The sequence below is a fragment of the Homo sapiens genome, chromosome 19 (genome assembly GCF_000001405.40).
Source record: "Homo sapiens chromosome 19, GRCh38.p14 Primary Assembly".
NCBI lineage: Eukaryota > Metazoa > Chordata > Mammalia > Primates > Hominidae > Homo > Homo sapiens.
In genome coordinates this window covers 36,014,588-36,034,772 of record NC_000019.10, presented here as the reverse complement: position 1 = coordinate 36,034,772, position 20,185 = coordinate 36,014,588, and the positions used below count along the sequence as shown (strand labels likewise).

Here is a 20,185-nt window from a genome sequence, read left to right as displayed (position 1 = left end):
AGTAGGGAAGGGAGGAAGGGGTGCAGTTTTAGAGCAGAGAAGGTGAAAAGACACCAACAAGTAAGATCCTAAAACAGGGCAGAGAGGGAGCCACGTAGGGATTTGGAGGAAGAGCATTCCGGGCATCACAAAGAGCCGTTGCAGGCCAGGCACGGTGGCTCACGCCTGTCGTCCCAGCACTTTGGGAAGCTGAGGCAGGCAGATAACCTAAGGTCAGGAGTTTGAGACCAGCCTGGCCAACATGGCGAAACCCCGTCCCTACTAAAAATACAAAAATTAGCTGGGTGTGGTGGCACAGGCCTGTAATCCCAGCTACTCGGGAGGCTGAGGCAGGAGAATCACTTGAACCTGGAAGACAGAGGTTGCAGTGAGCAGAGATCATGCCACTCCACTCCAGCCTGGGGAACAGTGAGACTGCCATCTCAAAAAAAAAAAAAAAAAAGAGCCAGTGCAAAGGTCCTGGGGTAGGGAGAAGCAAGGAGGCCAGTGTGGCTGGGGTGGAGTGAACAAAAGAGGGTGAGAGGAGGTGAGTGCAGAGATGATGGGGCAGGTTCACATAGGCCCTTGTGGGCCATGGCTGAGAGCCTTGGCTTCTACCTGGAGTGAGGTGCAGCAGGCAGACCCCTCTGAGGGAAAGAGGGCTCCAAAGTGACAGGTGTTCATGGGTCCCTGTGGCTGCATGTTGGAGGAGGACGGGGACAGCAGGTAAGAGGCTGCTGCCGTAGTGCTGGTGGCAGAAGAAGAAGGATGGACCAAGATGAGGGCCCAGGGTAGCGGTGGGGAGAGTGAGATCCTGGAAATCTTTTGGAGATGGAGCTACTGGACCTGTGCATTAGAAGGATGAGGTGTTCAAGGCTGTCACCCAGCCCCATCCAGGCTGGGATGATTTGAGGCAGAGCAGGCTACAGCTCCAGGTGGGAAGCCAAGCCATGACAATGGAGCCAGGACCCTGGGCTGGCTTCAGGAGGCCTCCGTGGGGAAGATACAGGTTCTGAGAGAGTTGGAGGGGTCAATCGGCAGATCTGTTTCCCAGACACTGCTACAGGCATGTAGCATGGTGATTAAGAATCAAAGCTGGGCATGGTGACTCGTGCCTGTAATCTCAGCGCTTTGGGTGGCAGGGGCAGGAGGATCCCTTGAGGTCAGGAGTTCAAGACCAGCCTGGGCAACATGGCAAAACCCTGTCTCAAAAAAAATTCTCCAGACATGGTGGCATGCACGTGTGGTCTCGGCTACTCGGGAGGTTGAGGTGGGAGGATGGCTTGAGCCCAGAAGTTTGACGCTGCAGTGAGCCAAGATCACAACACTGCACAGTAGCCTGGGTGACAGAGTGAGACCCTGTCTAGGAAATAATAAAAATAAAAATCAGACTTTACAGACTGTCTGGTTTCAAATGTTCGCTCCATCACCTACTCATGTACTTTTGGGCAAGCTGCTTAACCTCTGGGCCCCAGTGTGTGAGCCTCGCATTATGATGGTAAGGATGAGATGATCATGATAGGAGTCTCTAGGAAATCACCCCTCTGAGGCACCCATTATGAATGGTGAGCTTGGAGAAGGGGTCCGGTCTAGGGTCCTAGAGAGAGGGTCCCCTAGAGGGTCCCCATCGTCACCACGCCCCAAGACCACTGCCCTCACCGGCCTGGTTTGCAGGCGTGGGGGAAGGGGATGGAGAAGATCTGTGTCCGCTCTCTCAGCCCTCTCTTTTGCCGTTGTATCTGCTCATCTCGCTCCTTTCCGTAGCCATCTCTTCCTCTCCCAGTGCCCGGAGGCTCTCCCCTTTCAGTCGCCGCCTCTGGCCCCTCCATCAATGCGAGCGCCTCCCGGTCCCTCCTCCTGGTCCCTCCTCCCCCGCCGCCGGTAGGGGGGCAGCAGGCGCATGCGCAGTCGCGCCCCTCCCTCTCCGCCCCCACCCCCTGTCGGCGTCTGGGCCTCGTCCCCTTCTCTCTGTCTCCCTTGCCTCCCCCATCACGTCCCCTGACACCGACACCCCATTGCTCCCACAGTCTCCCCAGTCTCCACTTTGGTCCCCAGCGCTGTCTGCCCGAGGTAAGATGGGGAGGGGGCGGCCCGCGGAGAAGGGGAGGGGCGAAGCATCCTGAATCCCGAGATAAACAAACCCGGGGAGGGGGCAGCCGCGACTGAGGGGCCTGACGCGGGAGGAGAAGAATGGGGGGCTGGGCCTGGGGGAGGTGGCAGGCGCTGGGCGCACACACCGGGGCCCTCTATGGGTAACGGGGGTCCCTATGGTTGCCCAAGATCCAGTTGCGCGGAGGCCACCCGGGGCCCTGGAAGCTCCTAGGGGCTTGGACCCTGGAGCCTGCCGGGCACCCTCTCCAGCTGACCTCTGCCTCCAGGATTTGCCTGAAGGCTGCCCCCAACTCTGCACCCGCCCCCCGAGGGCCACCGAGGACCATGACTAAGACAGATCCTGCCCCGATGGCCCCGCCACCCCGAGGAGAGGAGGAAGAAGAGGAGGAGGAGGATGAACCCGTCCCCGAGGCCCCCAGCCCCACCCAGGAGCGCCGGCAGAAGCCTGTTGTGCACCCCTCGGCACCTGCCCCCCTCCCTAAGGACTACGGTAACCACTGTCCCCACCCTGGAATCTGGCCTGGAGCGTTGGGTGGCCGGGGAGGGTGGGCTGTGCTCTGCTGGTGGTGATGGTGGGAGAATTCTGGGGAATTTGAAGGTGGTCCAGAGGAATCTTGGCTGCAGAGCACCCCTCGTTAATTCATTCATTCACCCATTGGAGAATGGAATTGTAATACTCCTAGTCTTTGACTCATGACACATCATTCCATCATTTAGTCATTCAACAATCATTTTTTGAAAGCGGCTGTGGACCTGGCTTTATGCTAGGGGCTGGGGCCACAGCAGGGGGCAAGAGAGACCCAGTCTTTGCCCTGAGACAACTCACAGGCCTCAGTAACAGCCACACAAATAGGTATTAAACCATAATGTAATTTTTCACATTTAGGTTTATATGCAAGAAAGAAAAATATAATGTAATATAAATATGTAATTACAAGACATTATGAAAATTGTATTTACCATAAACAAGCTGCTGCAAGAGTTTTTTAAGACATTGTTTCCCTGAGGAGGTTACAGTTGAGAAGACTGGAGGGTGAGTTGGGGTTAACTAAGAGAAGGGTCAGGGGAAAGGGCTCCCAGGAGAGGTAACCGCTGGGTAAAGGATCTGAGGTAGGAGGGTATGGAGCTGAGAGGGCGGCCTCTTGGAGAAACTGAAAGTGTCTAATCATTGACCGAGCGATATTTATCGAGTGCTGCTACTCTGTGACAAGCCTTATGCTGGGTGCCGGAGATTTAATCCTAAGTGATCCAGGCATGATCCTCCCTTGCAGGAGAGAAGGAGAGACTAAACAAGTGAACAGATAAATAAATCAGAAATCAGATAAATTCAGATTGGAGCAAGTGCTATGAAAGAAAGAAAAGGTGGGCTGGGCATGGTGTCTCACGCCTGTAATCCCAGCACTTTGGGAGGCTGAGGCCAGCGGATCACCTGAGGTCAGGAGTTTGAGACCAGCCATGGCCAACATGGTGAAACCCCATCTCTACTAAAAATACAAAAATTGGCTGGGTATAGTGGCATATGTCTGTAATCCCAGCCACTCGGGAGGCTGAGGCAGTAGAATCGCTTGAACCTGGGAGGCAGAGGTTGCCCAAGATCGAGCCACTACACTCCAGCCTGAGTGACAGAGTAAGACTGTCTCAAAAAAAAAAAAAAAAAAGAAAAAAAAAAAAAAGAAAAGAAAAAAAGAAAAAAGAAAAAGAAATTAAAGGTGGAGATACGATAATGACTAGGGGGCAGCTACCTGCAGGGGTAGTCAGGGCTGCTCTTTCTGAGTAGGTAACATTTAGTTTGGGACCCAGAGCATGGGGAGGAATCAGCCATAAGAGAGCTGGAAAAAGAGTGTTCCAGGCAGACAGCAGCAAGTGCAAAGGCCCTGAGGCAGAATTGAACTTGGAACAGAAAGATCCTGGAGCTGCATTCAGGGAATGATCGAGGTTGAGGTGAGAGGTTGGCATAGGCCAGATCTGGAAGGGCCTTCAAGGCTACAGTGAGGACTTTGGTTATATTCTAAGTGGGACAGGGGAGAAGAGTGGCAAGGGGAGGGTGTTTAAGAGCAGAGGAGTGGCAGGTCTGATTTGTAGTTTGAAAGCTCCCTCTGGGTACTGGGTAGAAGGGGATGGAGTGCAGCCAGAGTTGGATGTAGGAGGGGAATTTGGAAGATATGCAGGCTGGGAATCCCCGGCAGCTGTGAGGTTCAGAAACCAGGTTCAGAGAGTCAGCGTTGCCAGGATAGAGCAAGACAGATGGCATCCATGGACATGTCACCCACTAGAGGTAGATCAGGGAGACTACAAGTTGACTTCAGTCTAATAGAAAAATAAGAAAGTTGGCTAGGCACAGTGGTTCTGGCTTATAATCCTAGCACTCTAGGAGGCCAAGGTGGGAGGATTGCTTGAGGCCAGGAGTTCGAGATCAGCCTGGGCAATGGAGCAAGACCCCATCTGTACAGAAAATTTAGAAATTAGCCAGGCATGGTGGGTACCTGTAGTCCCAGCTACTCCAGAGGCTGAGGTGGGAGGATCACTTGAGCCTGAGAATTCGATGCTGCAGTAAGCTAGGATTGCACCACTGCACTCCAGCTTGGGTGACACAGTGAGACCCTGTCTCAAAAAAAGAAAAAAGTAAAAGGAAGTTATCTGGGGCCTGAGGTCGGGGGGGTGCTGTACCTCAGAAAACTGGAAAATCTCCTTTGGAAATGCAGCTGGAGGTGGCTGGGGCCTCTGACTCAGTGGGAGGTCGGAGGGTATAGGCTGAGCCCTCCAAGCAGTCTTGCTTGTAGAGCGGGAGAGGTTTTGTCCCAGAATGTGAAGAAATCTGGAAATGTGGTCGAGGACAGGGAGAAGGCTAAGGTGGACTCCAAGAGGAAATCATGTATCTGTTAAATTTGTACATTAATTCAACAGAGATTGACTGAGCACCTACTGTGTGCCATGTGCTGTGCCTGGCCTTGGGGATAAAGGAGTGAATGAGGCAGAATAGAATCATAGCATTTAGATCCTAGTGAGGGAAGAAGAGAGGAAATGAAGGAGGGAGAAAGAGGAGTAAACATGTCAAGTAGTGATATGAGCTATGATAAAAATAAATAAATAAATAAAGGGCTGGGCATGGTGGCTCACACCTGTAATTTCAGTGCTTTGGGAAGCCAAAGTGGGAGGATCACTTGAGCCCAGGAGTTCGAGACCAGCCTGGGCAACATAGCAAAACGTTGTCACTACAAAAAAAAAAAAAATTGCTGGGCATGGTGATGTATACTGTAGTCCTAGCTACCAGGGAGGCTGAAGCAGGAGGATCACTTGAACCCAGGAGTTCAAGGCTGTAGTGAGCTATGATCATACTATTGCATTCCAACAGACCCTATTTTTTTTTTTTTTTTTGAGACGGACTCCAGGCTGGAGTGCAATGGTGCAATCTTGGCCCACTGCAACCTCTGCCTTCCGAGTTCAAGCGATTCTCCTGCCTCAGCCTCCTGAGTAGCTGGGATTACAGGCACTCACCACCACGCCCAGTTAATTTTTGTATTTTTAGTAGAGATGGAGTTTCACCATGTTGGTCAGGCTGGTCTCGAACTGCTGACCTCATGATCTGCCAGCCTTGGCCTCCCAAAGTGCTGGGATTCCAGGCGTGAGCCACCATGCCCAGCCAAGACCCTATCTCTAAAAAAAAAAAAAAAAAAAAAAAAAAAAAGAGTAGGAGATGGAGAAGGGCGGGTGCCGATTTAGACAGTGTGGTTTGGGAAGGCCTCTCTGAGGAGATGACATTTGAGCAAAGATTTATAAAGCTTTGTGAAGATGTGTGGGAAGTCTATCCTGAGTGAGAAGAACAGCAAGTGCCAAGACCCTGAGACAAGAATTTGCTTGGCACGTGGGAGGGACAGAGGGAGCCCAGTGTGGGAAATGAGGGAAGGGGAATAAGTGAGGGGAGAGGGCTGAGAACTGAGGGGCTGGATGTGCAGAGCCCTGAGGGCCGTGGGGAAGACTTTGGTCTGTACTCTGGATGGGTTGGGAGCTGGAGGAGGGTTCTAAGCCAAGAAGGGCTATGATGTGACTGCAGTTCTAAAAGGAGCATGCCGGCTGATTCCTGGAGACACCTTCTATGTGGCACTTCCCTGGGCTGTGTATAATCTGATCATTCATGTAGTCGTTCATTCACCACGCACTGAGTTCCTGCCACGTGCCAGGGCCCTGTGCTGGGTGCTGACGTCACAGAGAGCAGTACTCCTTAGAGTCGAGTGGGAAGAGACAGAAGTGCCTCTAGGCACCACCCTGGCTGGGCACAGGTTGATTCCTGCTCATGGATACATTTTATTTTATTTTCATTTTTATTTATTTATTTACTTTTTTTGAGATGGAGTCTCACTCTCTGTCACCCAGGCTGGAGTGCAGCGGCGCCATCTCAGCTCACTGCAGCCTTTGCCTCCTGAGTTCAAGTGATTCTCCTGCCTCAGCCTCCCGAGCAGCTGGGATTACCGGCGCCCACCACCACGCCTGGCTAATTTTTGTATTTTTGGTAGAGTCAGGGTTTCACCACGTTGGACCAGGCTGGTCTCGAACTCCTGACCTGAGGTGATCCGCCCGCCCCGGCCTCCAAAAGTGCTGGGATTACAGGCGTGAGCCACCGCGCACAGCCTCTATTTTTATTTTTTATATTTCCAGAGTCAGGGTCTTGCTCTGTTGCCCAGGCTGGCGTGTAGTGGCACAATCATGGCTCACTGCAGCCTTGAACTCCTGGGCTCAAGCAATCCTCCTGTCTCAATCTCCTTGAGTAGCACCAATGCGCACCACCACACCTGGCTAATTTTAAAACTTTTTGTAAAGACAGGGGTCTTGCTATGTTGCCCAGGCTGGTCTTGAACTTATGGGCTCAAGCAATCCTCCTGCCTCAGCCTCCCAACGCATTGGGATTACAGATGTGAACCACTGTGCCCAGTCATGGATACATTTGATGTGGACTGCATGGTATTTGAAACAATTGAGAGAGTTTTATTAAAAACCAGGACTTCTGGCTTTATTTATTTTTGCTCTGGAGATTCAGCCAAACTTCACTCATACTCTCACAGGGCAACAGTGGGTGAGGTCAGTAGCAGTCCCCCTGGACATGCAGACTCCAAGGTACTGCACTCTCTGTCAGGCTTTTGTTTCAGGGGGTGGAGTTTGCTGCTATATGGGAATTGCCTGATCTTCCAACTTTTCAAGACACACTGGGCATCGAGATTTTTATGTGAACCCACCTGAGTTTGAAACCTCATGCTGGCCACACAGAAAATGCCTGTGGGTTGACTGTGGCCCATGTGCCACCAGCTTGAGACCCTGCATTAGAGGCTCTAAAAGGCAAAGACCTACAGCTCCCCTACTGAGGCTGGAAGGAGGGGGTCAGTTGCGTGGGGTGACCTTGGACCTCTTGCCACCCCAGCTTTCACCTTCTTCGATCCCAATGACCCGGCGTGCCAGGAGATCCTGTTTGACCCTCAGACCACCATCCCCGAGCTGTTTGCCATTGTGCGCCAGTGGGTGCCCCAAGTCCAGCACAAGATAGACGTCATCGGCAATGAGGTGAGAACACTGGGGAAACCAGGGGGAGAGGGGATGCGGTTCCCCACATGTGTGGGTGACCCTCCCTGCTCCCCTGGTACTCACAGATTCTGCGCCGAGGCTGCCATGTGAACGATCGTGACGGGCTGACCGACATGACACTGCTCCACTATGCGTGCAAAGCTGGGGCCCACGGAGTCGGTGAGGGCCCCCTACCCCCAAGTCATAAGCCCCAAAGCCTAGGCCCCCAGACCCAACACGCTGAAAACCACCCAGAACTCAGGCCCCATCTGGAACCCGAAGCTTCGGATCCCAAAGTATAGTCCCTGAAGCCCAGGGTCCTCCCCGTGCACTGGGCCCATGCTCTGGAATGGGGGTTCCAAGCTGACCCGGCCTATCGCGCAGGGGACCCCGCGGCAGCCGTGCGCCTCTCGCAGCAGCTGCTGGCGCTGGGCGCAGATGTGACGCTGCGCAGCCGCTGGACCAACATGAACGCGCTTCACTACGCGGCCTATTTTGATGTGCCCGACCTCGTGCGTGTGCTGCTGAAGGGTGCGAGGCCGCGAGGTGAGGAGGAGAGCCCTGGCTGGGAGGGGGCAAGGACCTGGGTGAGGGACGCGGAGACCCAGGTGAGGCCAGGCTGCGAGGGGAAGGAGGACGGTGATCTGAGGAGATAGCGGGAGGTTGGAGGCGTGGGAGAGGGGGCTCAGGGACTACCACTCTAGGGAGGGTCGGGGCTGCCAAGGGAGAGGGGGGCTCCGAGGTGGGGGCGGGGCTCTGCGTCGGAGGCTCTGGGACCTGCAAGTTAAGAGATGAGCCCCGAGGTGGGAGGAGGGCTGGGGTCCCACAGGCGCTCACCCGGAACCCCTCCTCTTGCCCACTTCCAGTGGTGAACTCCACGTGCAGTGACTTCAACCACGGCTCAGCCCTGCACATCGCTGCTTCCAGCCTGTGCCTGGGCGCCGCCAAATGTTTGCTGGAGCACGGCGCCAACCCTGCGCTGAGGGTACTGCCACCCTTGCCCAGAACCCGTTACCCTCCTGCTCCCTTCCTCCCCCACTTCCCTCCAGCAGGTCTCTGCGTTTCCCGTGACTCCCCAAATACTACAAATGCCGTCTGTACATTCAGCAAATGCAATAACAGCTGAAATATGCCTAGTGTTCATTACATGTCAGGTGAAGTCTATTATAAGCCTTGTTTTACAATGGGGAAACTGAGGCAGAGATTAAGGGATCTGCCCAGGGTCATCCAGCCTATCCCATGGCAGTGCATAACAGCATTTCAAGGTCATGAGGAAAGTTGGGCTAGGCCTTCTGTGAATGAGAGGGTTGGTCCTCTCCTAAGCCCTCAATATGATCTTTGACCTCTGACCTATGCATTACCAGGCTCCATCCACAATGCTAATTACCCTGCAGCCGTCCAGGCACATGTATGTTGGGGTAACATGGCCTGTGCCCCTGAGACCCTGCCTCTCCCCATTTTCCACTGGCCCAGAGTTTGACTCCTGACTCTATACCACAGGAGCCCACTCTCACTCTCTCTAATTTTTTTTTTTTTTTTTTGAGACAGAGACTGGCTCTGTCATCCAGGCTGGAGTGCAGTGGTGCAATCTCGGCTCACTGCAACCTCTGCCTACCAGGTTCAAACGATTCTCCTGCCTCAGCCTCCCGAGTAGGTAGAATTATAGGCATGCGCCACCACACCCGGCTAATTTTTGTATTTTTAGTAGAGATGGAGTTTCACCATGTTGGCCAGGCTGGTCTCGAGCTCCTGACCTCAGGTGATCTGCCCACCTCGGCCTCACAAATTGCTAGGATTATAAGCATAAGCCACTGCACCCAGCCCACAGGAGCCCATTCTCAATGTTCATCTCCCACATGTCCTCATTACAGGCTTGGGGTCTCCAGAGATTGCCTCCCTGAGGGCGTGACCTACAGCACTGAAGTGTGGCCCTCATCCCTACTGCCTACACCCCCAGGCCCACCCTCAATTACTTGACACACCCCCAGCCCTGGGTCTCAGGGGTGGGTTTCCCTGGGGATGTGGTCTGCACCTTTCTGCCCTGCCCCTTCTTTTTTTTTTTTTTTGAGACGGAGTCTCGCTCTGTCACCCAGGCTGGAGTGCAGTAGCATGATCTTGGCTCACTGCAACCTCTGCTTCCCGGATTCAAGCGATTCTCCTGCCTCAGCCTCCCGAGTAGCTGGGATTACAGGCACACGCCACCACACCCGGCTAATTTTTGTATTTTTAGTACAGACGAGGTTTCACCATGTTGGCCAGGCTGGTCTTGAACTCCTGACCTCAAGCATCTGCCTGCCTCGGCCTCACAACGTACTGGGATTACAGGCGTGAGCCACCTTACCCCGCCTTGCCCTGACCCTTCTTATTCCCAGGTTGGCCCAGGATATGACCTAGTCTTACCCCTGCATCACCCAGACTGGTGGTCTCTAGGGGCAGGGCCTCCATGGGGGTGTGACCTGTGCCACTGAGTCCCTGCCTTCTTTTCCCATTGGCCCCCAGAATCGAAAAGGACAGGTGCCGGCGGAGGTGGTCCCAGATCCTATGGACATGTCCCTGGACAAGGCAGAGGCGGCACTGGTGGCCAAGGAGCTGCGGACGCTTCTGGAAGAGGCAGTGCCACTATCTTGCGCCCTCCCCAAGGTCACGCTACCCAACTATGACAACGTCCCAGGCAATCTCATGCTTAGCGCACTGGGCTTGCGCCTGGGAGACCGCGTGCTGCTGGATGGCCAGAAGGTCAGGGGCTGGGATGTGTGTTTGCATGGTGGGTGGGGGTGGGACTCAGCCCCTTAATCCCTTGGAGCTGCGTCCTCGGGCAGAGTGCAGTCCCTGCCCTTTGTCTACTTGCCGCCCTAACTATCCACCCAGTACTTGATTTTATCTCAGTTGTTCCGTGGGTGTCTCCTTTGAGCCTCACCCTGTGCTGAGCTCTCCATCCAGGGTGGGAAACAACCCGTCATCTGACAGTGACGGCCGAGAGTGGTCATGGCTGCCATGGGGAGGGGTGAGCAGAGTGATCTGCGCAGCTCTGTGCACCTGTGGCTCCCCCCGGGTCTTGTGGTCCTCGATCAGGCCCCTCTGCTCTCAGAGACAAGTCTGGCTAGGCAAGTCCAGGCCAGAGTGATTGGGGTGTGATGGGGAATGTACCCAAATTGCAGATGTGGAGGAGCAAGCCAGGGAAAGAAAGGGAGAAAGGAGTCTCAGCTTGGGGGAGCGGGTATCACAGCTGAGAGGGCAGAGAGAATCTTCATTTATCCAGGGACTCCAATTTCACTCATTTCCCGGTGTCCCTTGGGCTCCATACGGGACCCAGTCTGTCCTTAGGGAGGGAGGGCTGTGTCTGCCCCCGCCCTGCTGTCATGGGGCTCCACTTGTAATGAAGGGGAGACAGTCAAGAAAGTAAACCTATGGTTGAGATGATTTCTGGGCTGGGCACGGTAGTTCACACCTCTAATCCCGGCATTTTGGGAGGCCGAGGTGGGAGGATCACTTGAGGTCAGGAGTTGTTAGAGACCAGCCTGGGCAACATAGTGAGATCCTGCCTCTATTGAAAAAAAAAAAAAAAGGTAATTTCTGGTAGCAACAAGGGCTGTCAACACCATTACATGTTTGGATTTAGTAAATTGTCCCTGGCTGAATGCTGGAGTGGTTTTAGCTGGGGTGTTCTGAGAAGGCTTCTCTGAGGAGGTGATGTCCAAACTGAGATAGGAAAGAACTTCCTTTGCAAAGATAAGGAAGCAGAGGATGCAGTAGGTATGGAGACCCAGAGGCAGGAAGGGGCAGTGTTGACGAGGGGAGTTATGGGAAGGGCGGTGAGGTGGAGAGGTCAGCAAGGCTGGGTCACAGCAGACCTGTAGGCTACTGGAAGGAGTTTGAATTTTGTTTTTGTGTTTTTGAGACAGGGTCTTGCTGTCACCCAGGCCAGAGTGCAGTGGCACGATCTTGGCTCACAGCAACCTCCACCTCCCAGATTCAAGCTATTCTCATGTCTTAGCCTCCCACGTAGCTGGGATTACAAGTGTGTGCCAACAAGCCTGGGTTTATTTTTATTATTATGATTATTATTATTATTATTTTGAGATGGAGTCTTGCTCTGTCGCCTAGGCTGGAGTGCGGTGGCGCGATCTCAGCTCACTGCAAGCTCTGCCTCCTGGGTTCATGCCATTCTCCTGCCTCAGCCTCCCGAGTAGCTGGGACTACAGGTGCCCACCACCATGCCTGGCTAATTATTTGTATTTTTAGTAGAGAGAGGGTGTCACTGTGTTAGCCAGGATGGTCTTGATCTCCTGACCTCGTGATCCGCCCGCCTCAGCCTCCCAAAGTGCTGGGATTACAGGCGTGAGCCACCGCGCCTGGCCTTTTATTTTTATTTTTAGTAGCAACGGGTTTCACCATATTGGCCAGGCTGGTCTCAAACTCCTGCCCTCAAGCGATTCGCCCGCCTTGGCTCCCAAAGTGCTGGGATTACAGGCATAAGCCACTGCGCCCGGCCCCATCCAGAAAGCATTCTGCTGTGCACGATCTAATCATATCCATTGCACAATTCAGAAGGAAGGTTGGGTTGACTCTTCCCATTTTACAAGCCAGACTATAAGAGGCTCCAACAGGTGAAAACCTTTATCTGAAGACACGGAATACTAATCACTGCCCCTTAGAGAAGCAGCATAGCACAGCGTCATGAACTCAGGCTCAGGGACTTGCCCAGGTAAATCTCAGCTTTGCAACTTCCCACCTGTGGACCTGGAGCCAGTGATTCTGCCTCTTTGGGTGTCAATGTCTTCATCCGTAAATGGAGATAATAATAGTAACCACCTTAGGGGGCTGGTTGAGGTTTAAATTAATTAAAATGCGTAAGGCCATTAGAACAGAGTCCAGCGCATACTAAATGCTCTTTGTGTGTGCCAGGCACTGTTCTAGTCCCTCCACCAACACTCTTAAGATCAGCACTAATTGTCGGGGCGCGGTGCCTCACGCCTGTAATCCCAGCACTTTGGGAGGCAGAGGTGGGCGGATCACGAGGTCAGGAGATCGAGACCATCCTGGCTAACCCGGTGAAACCTCGTCTCTACAAAAAAAATACAAAAAATTAGCCAGGCATGGTGGCAGGTGCCTGTAGTCCCAGCTACTCAGGAGGCTGAGGCAGGAGAATGGCATGAACCCAGGAGGCGGAGCTTGCAGTGAGCCAAGATCATGCCACTGCACTCCAGCCTGGGCCAAAGTGTGAGACTCCGTCTCCAAAAAAAAATAAATAAATAAAAATAAAAAAAGATCAGCACTAATTAATTAGCCTATTATATGGACCAGGAACTGAGGCATGGAGAGGTGAATGAGCCTCCCATAATGATAATAACCACACTCACTAAAGTCTCACTGCAGCTAAGCAAGTTTACATGTGTTAAAAATGTTTCCGCCAAATGTGGTGGCTCATGCCTGTAATCCCAGCACTTTGGGAGGCTGAGGCAGAAGGATCGCTTGAGCCCAGGAATTCGAGACCAGCCTGGGCAACATAGTGAGACCTCATCTCTACTAAAAATGAAAAAATTAACCAGGCATGGTGGCACACACCTATAGTCCTAGCTACTTGGGAGGCTGAAGTGAGAGGATCGCTTGAGCCCAGGAGTTCAAGACCAGCCTGGGCAATCAACATGGTGAGACCTCATCTCTACTAATAATGAAAAAATTAATCAGGCATGGTGGCGCACACCTGTAGTCCTAGCTACTTGGGAGGCTGAAGTGAGAGGATCACTTGTGCCCAGGAGTTTGAGGCTGCACTGTGCCAGGGTCGTGCCACTGCACCCCTGGCATGGGCAACAAAGTGAGACCCTGTCTAAAAAAAAAAAAAGTTTCCGCCAGATGATCACTCCATGAGGTGGCTTACTATCTCTATTTTACAGATGAAACTGAGGCTCAATAAGTCCCCTGACCAAAGTTACAGCATGATAATAGCTAACAGGCTGAGCACAGTGGCTTCACACCTGTAATCCCAGCACTTTGGGAGGCCAAGATGGGGAGGATCGCTTGAGGCCAGGAGTTTGAAACTAACCTGGGCAACATAGGGATACTCCATTTCTATTTTTAACAAAAGTTTGTTGTTGTTGTTGTTGTTTTAATTAGCCAGGCTTTGGTGGCGTTCACCTGTAGTCCCAGCTACTCGGGAGACTGAGGAGGGAAGATTGCTTGAACCCAGGAGTTCAAGGTTACACTGAGCTATGATTGCACCACTGCACTCCAGCCTGGGCCACAGAGTGAGACCCTGTCTCTAAAATAGAAAAAAAATTTCAATAACGAATACTTGCTGATCCTTTACTTAATACCAAGCCCTGTTCTGAGGGCTTTAATTTCTCTATAACAGCCCTGTCCAACAGAGCTTTCTGTAATGGTGGAAATATTCTGTCTGTGCTGTCCAGTAAAGTAGCTACAAGCTACATGTGACAATTGAGCACTTGAAATATGGCTAGTGTGACTGGGGAAATGCATTTTTAATTTAGTTTAAATGTATTGATTTGTATTTTTATTTATTTATATTTTTTCTTGAGACAGAGTCTTGCTCTGTTGCTCAGGCTGGAGTGCAGTGGTGCTATCTGGGCTCACTGCAACCCTCCTGGGTTCAAGCAATTCTCCTGCCTCAGCCTCCCGAGTAGCTGGGATTACAGGCGTGCACCATCATGCCTGGTTAATTTTTGTATTTTTAGTAGAGATGGGGGTTTCACCATGTTGGCCAGGCTGGTCTTGAACTCCTGACCTCAGGTGATCCTCCCACCTCGGCCTCCCAGAGTGCTAGGATTATAGGTGTGAGCCACCGCGCCCGGACTAAATTTATTTATTTTTAAATTTAAAAATCATCTGAGTCTTCTTTCTAAGGTATGTATTTATTTATTTTTGAGACAGGGTCTTGCTTGTTGCCCAGGCTGGAGTGCAGTGGCACCATCATAGCTCACTGCACCCTTGAACTCCTGGGCTCAAGCGATCCTCCCACCTCAGCCTCCCAAGTAACTGGGACAACAGGCTTGAGCTACTGCACCTGGTTACCTTTTTTCTTTCTTTTATAGAGAATAGGGTCTTGCTGTCTTTGTTTTTTGGAACAGATTAAGATTAGAGGGTCTCGCCATTTTCACCCAGGCTGGTCTGAAACTCCTGGCCTCAAGTGATCCTCCAGCCTTGGCATCCCAAAGTGTTGGGATTATAGGCATGAGCCACCACACCCGGCCTTAGTTTAAATTTAAATTGTTGGCCAGGCATGGTGGCTCATGCCTGTGATCCCAGCACTTTGGGAGGCCGAGGCGGGTGGATCACCTGAGGTCAGGAATTCGAGACCAGCCTGGCCAACATGGCGAAGCCCCGTCTCTACTAAAAATACAAAAATTAGCCAGGCGTGGTGGCATGCACCTGTAGTCCCAGCTACTTGGGAGGCTGAGATGGGAGAATTGCTTGAACCCAGGAAGTGGAATTTGCAGTGAGCCGAGATCGTGCCACTGCACTCGAGCCTGGCAACAGAGTGAGACGCTGTCTCGAAAAAAAAAAAAATAAATAAAATAAATAAATAAATAAATTTACATTGTCCTATGTGGCTAGTCACTATTCACTATATGAGACAGGGCAACTCTTTAACAATCCTATAAGGTGAGTATAATTTCTGTTCCCATTTCACAGCAAAGGAAGTTGAGGCACACAGAGGTTAAGTCATGTAGCCAGCAAATGGTGATGTGTGACCTGGGGTTTGGGCCCAGGGCGGCCTCATGCAACCCACCTTGCTGCCCGTGTGTGGGCACTCCACGTTGGCCTCCCAGCATTCCTTCCTTAGCCATCGCCTCCCTTCTCTCCCCAGACGGGCACACTGCGGTTCTGTGGGACCACGGAGTTTGCCAGCGGCCAGTGGGTGGGCGTGGAGCTGGACGAACCTGAGGGCAAGAACGATGGCAGCGTTGGGGGCGTTCGGTACTTCATCTGCCCTCCCAAGCAGGGTTAGTCCGACCTCGGGCCCAAGAGGGGTGTGGCTGGGTGTCCACTCGGCAGTTCTGATGCTGCTGACTGGGAAATAGGGGATGGAGGATGGGGGCCGAGGGCAGAGGCTTGGACAACACCAGGCTCGGATTCTGTACCCCTAGGTCTCTTTGCCTCCGTGTCCAAGATCTCCAAGGCAGTGGACGCACCCCCCTCCTCTGTCACCTCCACACCCCGGACCCCCCGGATGGACTTCTCCCGTGTCACCGGCAAAGGCCGCAGGGAACACAAAGGTCAGAGAGGGGATCCCTGTGGTGGGAAGAGCCAGTTTGGGGATGTTGTGTGGGTAGCTCAGCTTCTGTGACTCAGTTTCTCCTCAGGCCCAAACTCCAGTTTTGGAAGACAAGCTCTGAGTTCCTGACTTCTGTGACTCAGTTTCCCCTTTGGCTCAGTACTGGCACCCCCTAGTTCTTAGAAGGACCTGTGGGTTCCCTGCCCTCTGTGACTTAGTTTCCTCTCAGACCCAAAGGTCTCCCCCAGTTTTAGGGAAGAATCCTTGGAGATCCTGTCTTTTGTCATTTGATCTACTTTTTTTTTTTTTTTTTTTTGAGTCAAGAGTCTCGCCTTGTTGCCCAGGCTGGAGCGTGGTGGCACGATCTTGGCTCACCGCAACCTCCGCCTCCCGGGTTCAAGCAATTCTCGTGCCTCAGCCTCCCGAGTAGCTGGGATTACAGGTGCCCACCACCACATCTGGCTAATGTTTGTATTTTTTTCTGTAGAGACAGGGTTTTGCCATGTTGGCCAGGCTGGTCTCAAACTCCTGACCTCAAGTGATCTGCCCGCCTCGGCCTCTCAAAATGTTGGGATTACAGGCCTGCGCCACTGCACATGGCCTGATTTACTCTCGGACCCAATTTTCCCTTCATTTTAAAAGGACAGTTTCTGGGTTCCTGACTTCTGACTCAGCTTTTCCTTATCCAACATATCCTCAGCTTTGAGAAAGGATTTTGGGGTTCTTCAGGTTCTCTGACTCAGTTTCCCTTCAGGCCTAAAGCCCCTTCCTAATTCTCTGGCATCTGGGATTCAGTTTCACTTCAAACGAAGAACAGGGTTTTCTACCTTGGGGTTTTCCAGGTGGCACGAGGTTCCCAAAGCTGGCCTCAGCCCCACTACCCACCTCCTACACCTTCTACCCTTAGGCAAGAAGAAGACCCCATCATCCCCATCTCTGGGCAGCTTGCAGCAGCGTGACGGGGCCAAGGCTGAGGTTGGAGACCAGGTCCTTGTCGCGGGCCAGAAGCAGGGGATCGTGCGCTTCTACGGGAAGACAGACTTTGCCCCAGGTGAGGATGGGGACTCTGGGCCGGGAGGCAGGCAGGGCCTTGAGAAATCCTGACACCCTCGTGCTGCAGGTTACTGGTATGGCATTGAGCTGGACCAGCCCACAGGCAAGCATGATGGCTCTGTCTTCGGTGTCCGGTACTTCACTTGCCCCCCGAGGCATGGGGTCTTCGCACCAGCATCCCGTATTCAGAGGTGAGCCCAAACTTCCAGCCCAAACCCAGGGCACCACCTGGAGCCCTGATCCCCCCTCAGATGGCCTCCTCCTCCCAGACCAGCAGGACAGTGTGGACACCCCCGAGCCCCCAGCCCTTTCCTCATAGATCCCTGGGGCCCAGCTCTCAGTCAGACCCTGGCCTTTTGTGGCTCTGACTTCTCCCCCTCCCCGTGTCTCCTCAGGATTGGCGGATCCACTGATTCCCCCGGGGACAGCGTTGGAGCCAAAAAAGTGCATCAAGTGACAAGTGAGTTAGGGGATGATATGTTGGGAGGAGTGTACGTTTGGGGATGGGAGGAAGGGTCATGGGTTCTCAGGTATATACTGGTGACAGTCTCTGGTATTTAATTGGGGACACAGGGTCCAGGAAAATGATGAGACAAGGTCCACAAAAAGATAGGTGCTAGAGGATATGAGGAAATTAGCAACAAGGCTCTTCGGGGACATGAGGTTGAGCAGATACTGGGGACAGGGATAGTCACTGGGGGACATGGTGGGAATTATGGACAAGAGGCCCAGATGGGTATTGGGAATGTAGGATCCAGGTGGGGACTGGAGACATGGGGAGGTATTAATGAGAAGGGGTCTGGATGGGTATTGAGGACACAGGTGGTCTGTCATCCCCTCACTTGACATCCTGCCCTCCTCTTCAGTGACGCAGCCCAAACGCACCTTCACCACAGTCCGGACCCCAAAGGACATTGCATCAGAGAACTCCATTTCCAGGTGTGTGGCCAACCCCTGTCCCCTCTCCTATGTGACATTCAGGGAGAGGGATCCATAAGGCAGTTGGACCCAGAGGTCTGGAGCTCTGGTCAGGGCTGGAAAGAGAGGTTAGGAAAACTTGTGACTTGTAAGCATACCCAGAAACAGTCTTTAGGGTGTAGGGCCCCGCACTGAATTCTAGTGAATTCCACTTTCGGGTGGGCCGGTAAAGGAAGCAGAACACCCTTCACTCCATACGAGCCTCAGAACAACAGCTAGAGACCGGGCGGGGTGGCTCATGCCTTTAATCCCAGCACTTTGGGAGGCCAAGGCAGGCGGATCACCTGAGGTCAGGAGTTCAAGACCAGCCTGGCCAACATGGTGAAACCCCGTCTCTACCAAAAACACAAAAGTTAGCCGGACACAATGGCATACACCTGTAGTCCCAGCTACTCGGGAGGCTGAGACAGGAGAATTGCTTGAACCTGGGAGGCAGAGGTTGCAGTGAGCCGAGATCGTGCCATGGCACTCCAGCCTGGGTGACAGAGTGAGACTCCATCTCAGAAAACAAACAAACAAACAAACCACAGCCAGAGAGGTAGAGGCAGAATCCAGAAAGGCCTGATAGCAAACACTGGGGGAAAGGCTGGGGGTGATGGGTGCAGATGTCCCCGCTGCCTGCCTAAGGGCGTGACCCTGTCATCCTCCTTTCCAGGTTGCTGTTCTGCTGCTGGTTCCCCTGGATGCTGAGGGCGGAGATGCAGTCTTAGAGGCCCTGGACACCTGACAAAGAGACAGAGTCCCCACTAGCATCTCCTGACACCCGAGGAGCCCTGAGTCACCCTGAGATAGAGATTCCCAGTAACACATCCAGAGTAGAGACCCCTGTTAGCCAGCCCTCGATCATTGAGGCCCCATTATTAACAGATACTCCCATAATAACCCCCAAATACAGACCCCATGTCACCCAGAAAGAGATTCCCTGAGTAGCACCTTCAGGCTAGTCCCTATCCCCAACCCCTCAGAGCAGATTCCCAGATTAACAGATTTCCATATCACCCCAAATGATGGTGACCCTCTCCACATAATGCATTACAACAGAACATTCTTGAATCACCCAACCCTGGATCAGAAACCTCCCCATTAACAAACACTGCCCCTTAAGTCCTCTTGAAATAAACATAGGTCACACCCCCAAAGCAAAAGAGTAACAGACATTCATGTCATTGTTCCCCATTTAACATCAGTCCTCTCAAGATGTCGTGACCCCATGGTCACCCTGAAGCCCTTAGATTCCAACCCCTCAATCAGAGACTTCCTTCATTAACAAAGACCCTTGTTCTTATCCCTCAAGAAGAAACCCACCATAACCAGCCCACTGTCACCCCTAATTTACAGACACCAAAACAGTCCTGGAAGTGCTAATTACAGGACCCCCCAAGTCTTCCTACCCTCTGCACCCTCAAGAAACCCCCAGTGCCTTGTATGAAGCCCACCCCACATGGCCCACAGCTCCTGTGCTGGCCAGACTCCCAGAAAATTCTCTATTTTTTAAGTAACGACTTCCCCCTTTGGGGGACCCCAAAATTTGGAGGCCCCATTCTAGGACTCTGGGGATCCCAAACCCTAGAGTACACACGTCCCAAACTCCCCTGTGCCCTCAAGTCCTACAGCCCCTAGAAGACCCCAATGCCGTAACTCCTAGGACCCCCAAATCATGGAATCCCAAATCCCCAGGGAATCCCAAATTTGAAAATCCAATCCCAAGTCCCCAGGAAACCCAATCATGAGGTCCTTGTGCCTGGTATGGAGGAGACTGCAGTCAGGATATGCATTCCAGGCTCCCAGACACCTCAAGCCCTATTCACAGGCACCAGGAAACCCCACACAGGAATTCCCATCCCTGGAAACTGGAGAATTTCAATGCCCCGAGTCCATGGGTTTCAAGACACCAAATTCCAAGAGCCCCAGCCCTAAGGGAACCCCAAATCCTAAAGCCTCCATCTCTAATAAATGGAAGGCCCCAAGGCCCTGAGGGGATCTCAAATCCTGGAACCCCGATTTCAATCTACGTTCTAGTCACTGGCCTCAAAGGACCCCACAGCACCTGGGCCAGACCAACAGCTCGAGGGAGAACCTGAAGGCCCAGGGGGTCCAGGGCGGACCTGGGGCCCCGACCACCAAGGACAGCTCACGACTGCCCCTTCACTGCATGTCCCCAAACTCAGCATGACTCCTGTCCTCTTCAATAAAGACGTTTCTATGGCCTCTCTGTGTCGGGTCATTGGGGGTTTCCCTTGCTGGGAGAAGACGGGAAAGGAAGTGCTTCCTTCAGTCTCA

General features: G+C 52.8%; 1 protein-coding gene and 1 long non-coding RNA gene across 4 annotated transcripts in view, besides 1 other annotated feature; one reads left to right on the top strand and one right to left on the bottom strand.

The window, feature by feature from the left end:
* The window catches only part of LOC101927572 (uncharacterized), a 36,616-nt gene that overhangs the window by 16,345 nt on the left and 86 nt on the right, over positions 1–20,185 (bottom strand). For both annotated transcript variants that reach the window (NR_170988.1, NR_170987.1), the window contains exons 2-3: positions 17,813–17,961; positions 15,389–15,539 (exon numbers count right to left, since the gene is read on the bottom strand). This is a non-coding gene — a long non-coding RNA (uncharacterized LOC101927572). The remainder of the gene's footprint in view (positions 1–15,388; positions 15,540–17,812; positions 17,962–20,185) is intronic.
* On the top strand, positions 1,900–20,113 carry CLIP3 (CAP-Gly domain containing linker protein 3). Of its 2 annotated transcripts, NM_015526.3 has the most exons (14): positions 1,900–2,049; positions 2,358–2,581; positions 7,502–7,641; positions 7,728–7,821; positions 8,026–8,187; positions 8,508–8,626; positions 10,141–10,377; positions 15,467–15,602; positions 15,747–15,875; positions 16,782–16,925; positions 16,995–17,118; positions 17,323–17,387; positions 17,794–17,866; positions 18,561–20,113. In NM_015526.3, exons 2-14 carry the CDS (start codon positions 2,416–2,418, stop codon positions 18,613–18,615), a joined length of 1,644 nt encoding a protein of 547 aa, NP_056341.1. In that variant the 5' UTR covers positions 1,900–2,049; positions 2,358–2,415; the 3' UTR covers positions 18,616–20,113. The 2 variants fall into 2 exon arrangements, with proteins under 2 accessions (NP_056341.1, NP_001186499.1); NM_001199570.2 differs by lacking the exon at positions 1,900–2,049 and having other exon boundaries at positions 2,138–2,581.
* Positions 20,071–20,170: an enhancer, noted in NCBI's record as "active region_14514". NCBI's record gives its function as "activates an Ori minimal core promoter by ATAC-STARR-seq in GM12878 lymphoblastoid cells {active_cell/tissue: GM12878}" and the evidence as "EXISTENCE:reporter gene assay evidence [ECO:0000049][PMID:35858748]".

Coding starts and splice junctions, on each gene's coding strand:
- CLIP3 (NM_015526.3), top strand. CDS start 2,416: ATGACTAAGACAGATCCTGCCCCGATGGCCCCGCCACCCCGAGGAGAG. Junction 16,926..16,994: donor GAAGACAGACTTTGCCCCAG/GTGAGGATGGGG, acceptor CTCGTGCTGCAG/GTTACTGGTATGGCATTGAG. Junction 17,119..17,322: donor CCAGCATCCCGTATTCAGAG/GTGAGCCCAAAC, acceptor GTGTCTCCTCAG/GATTGGCGGATCCACTGATT.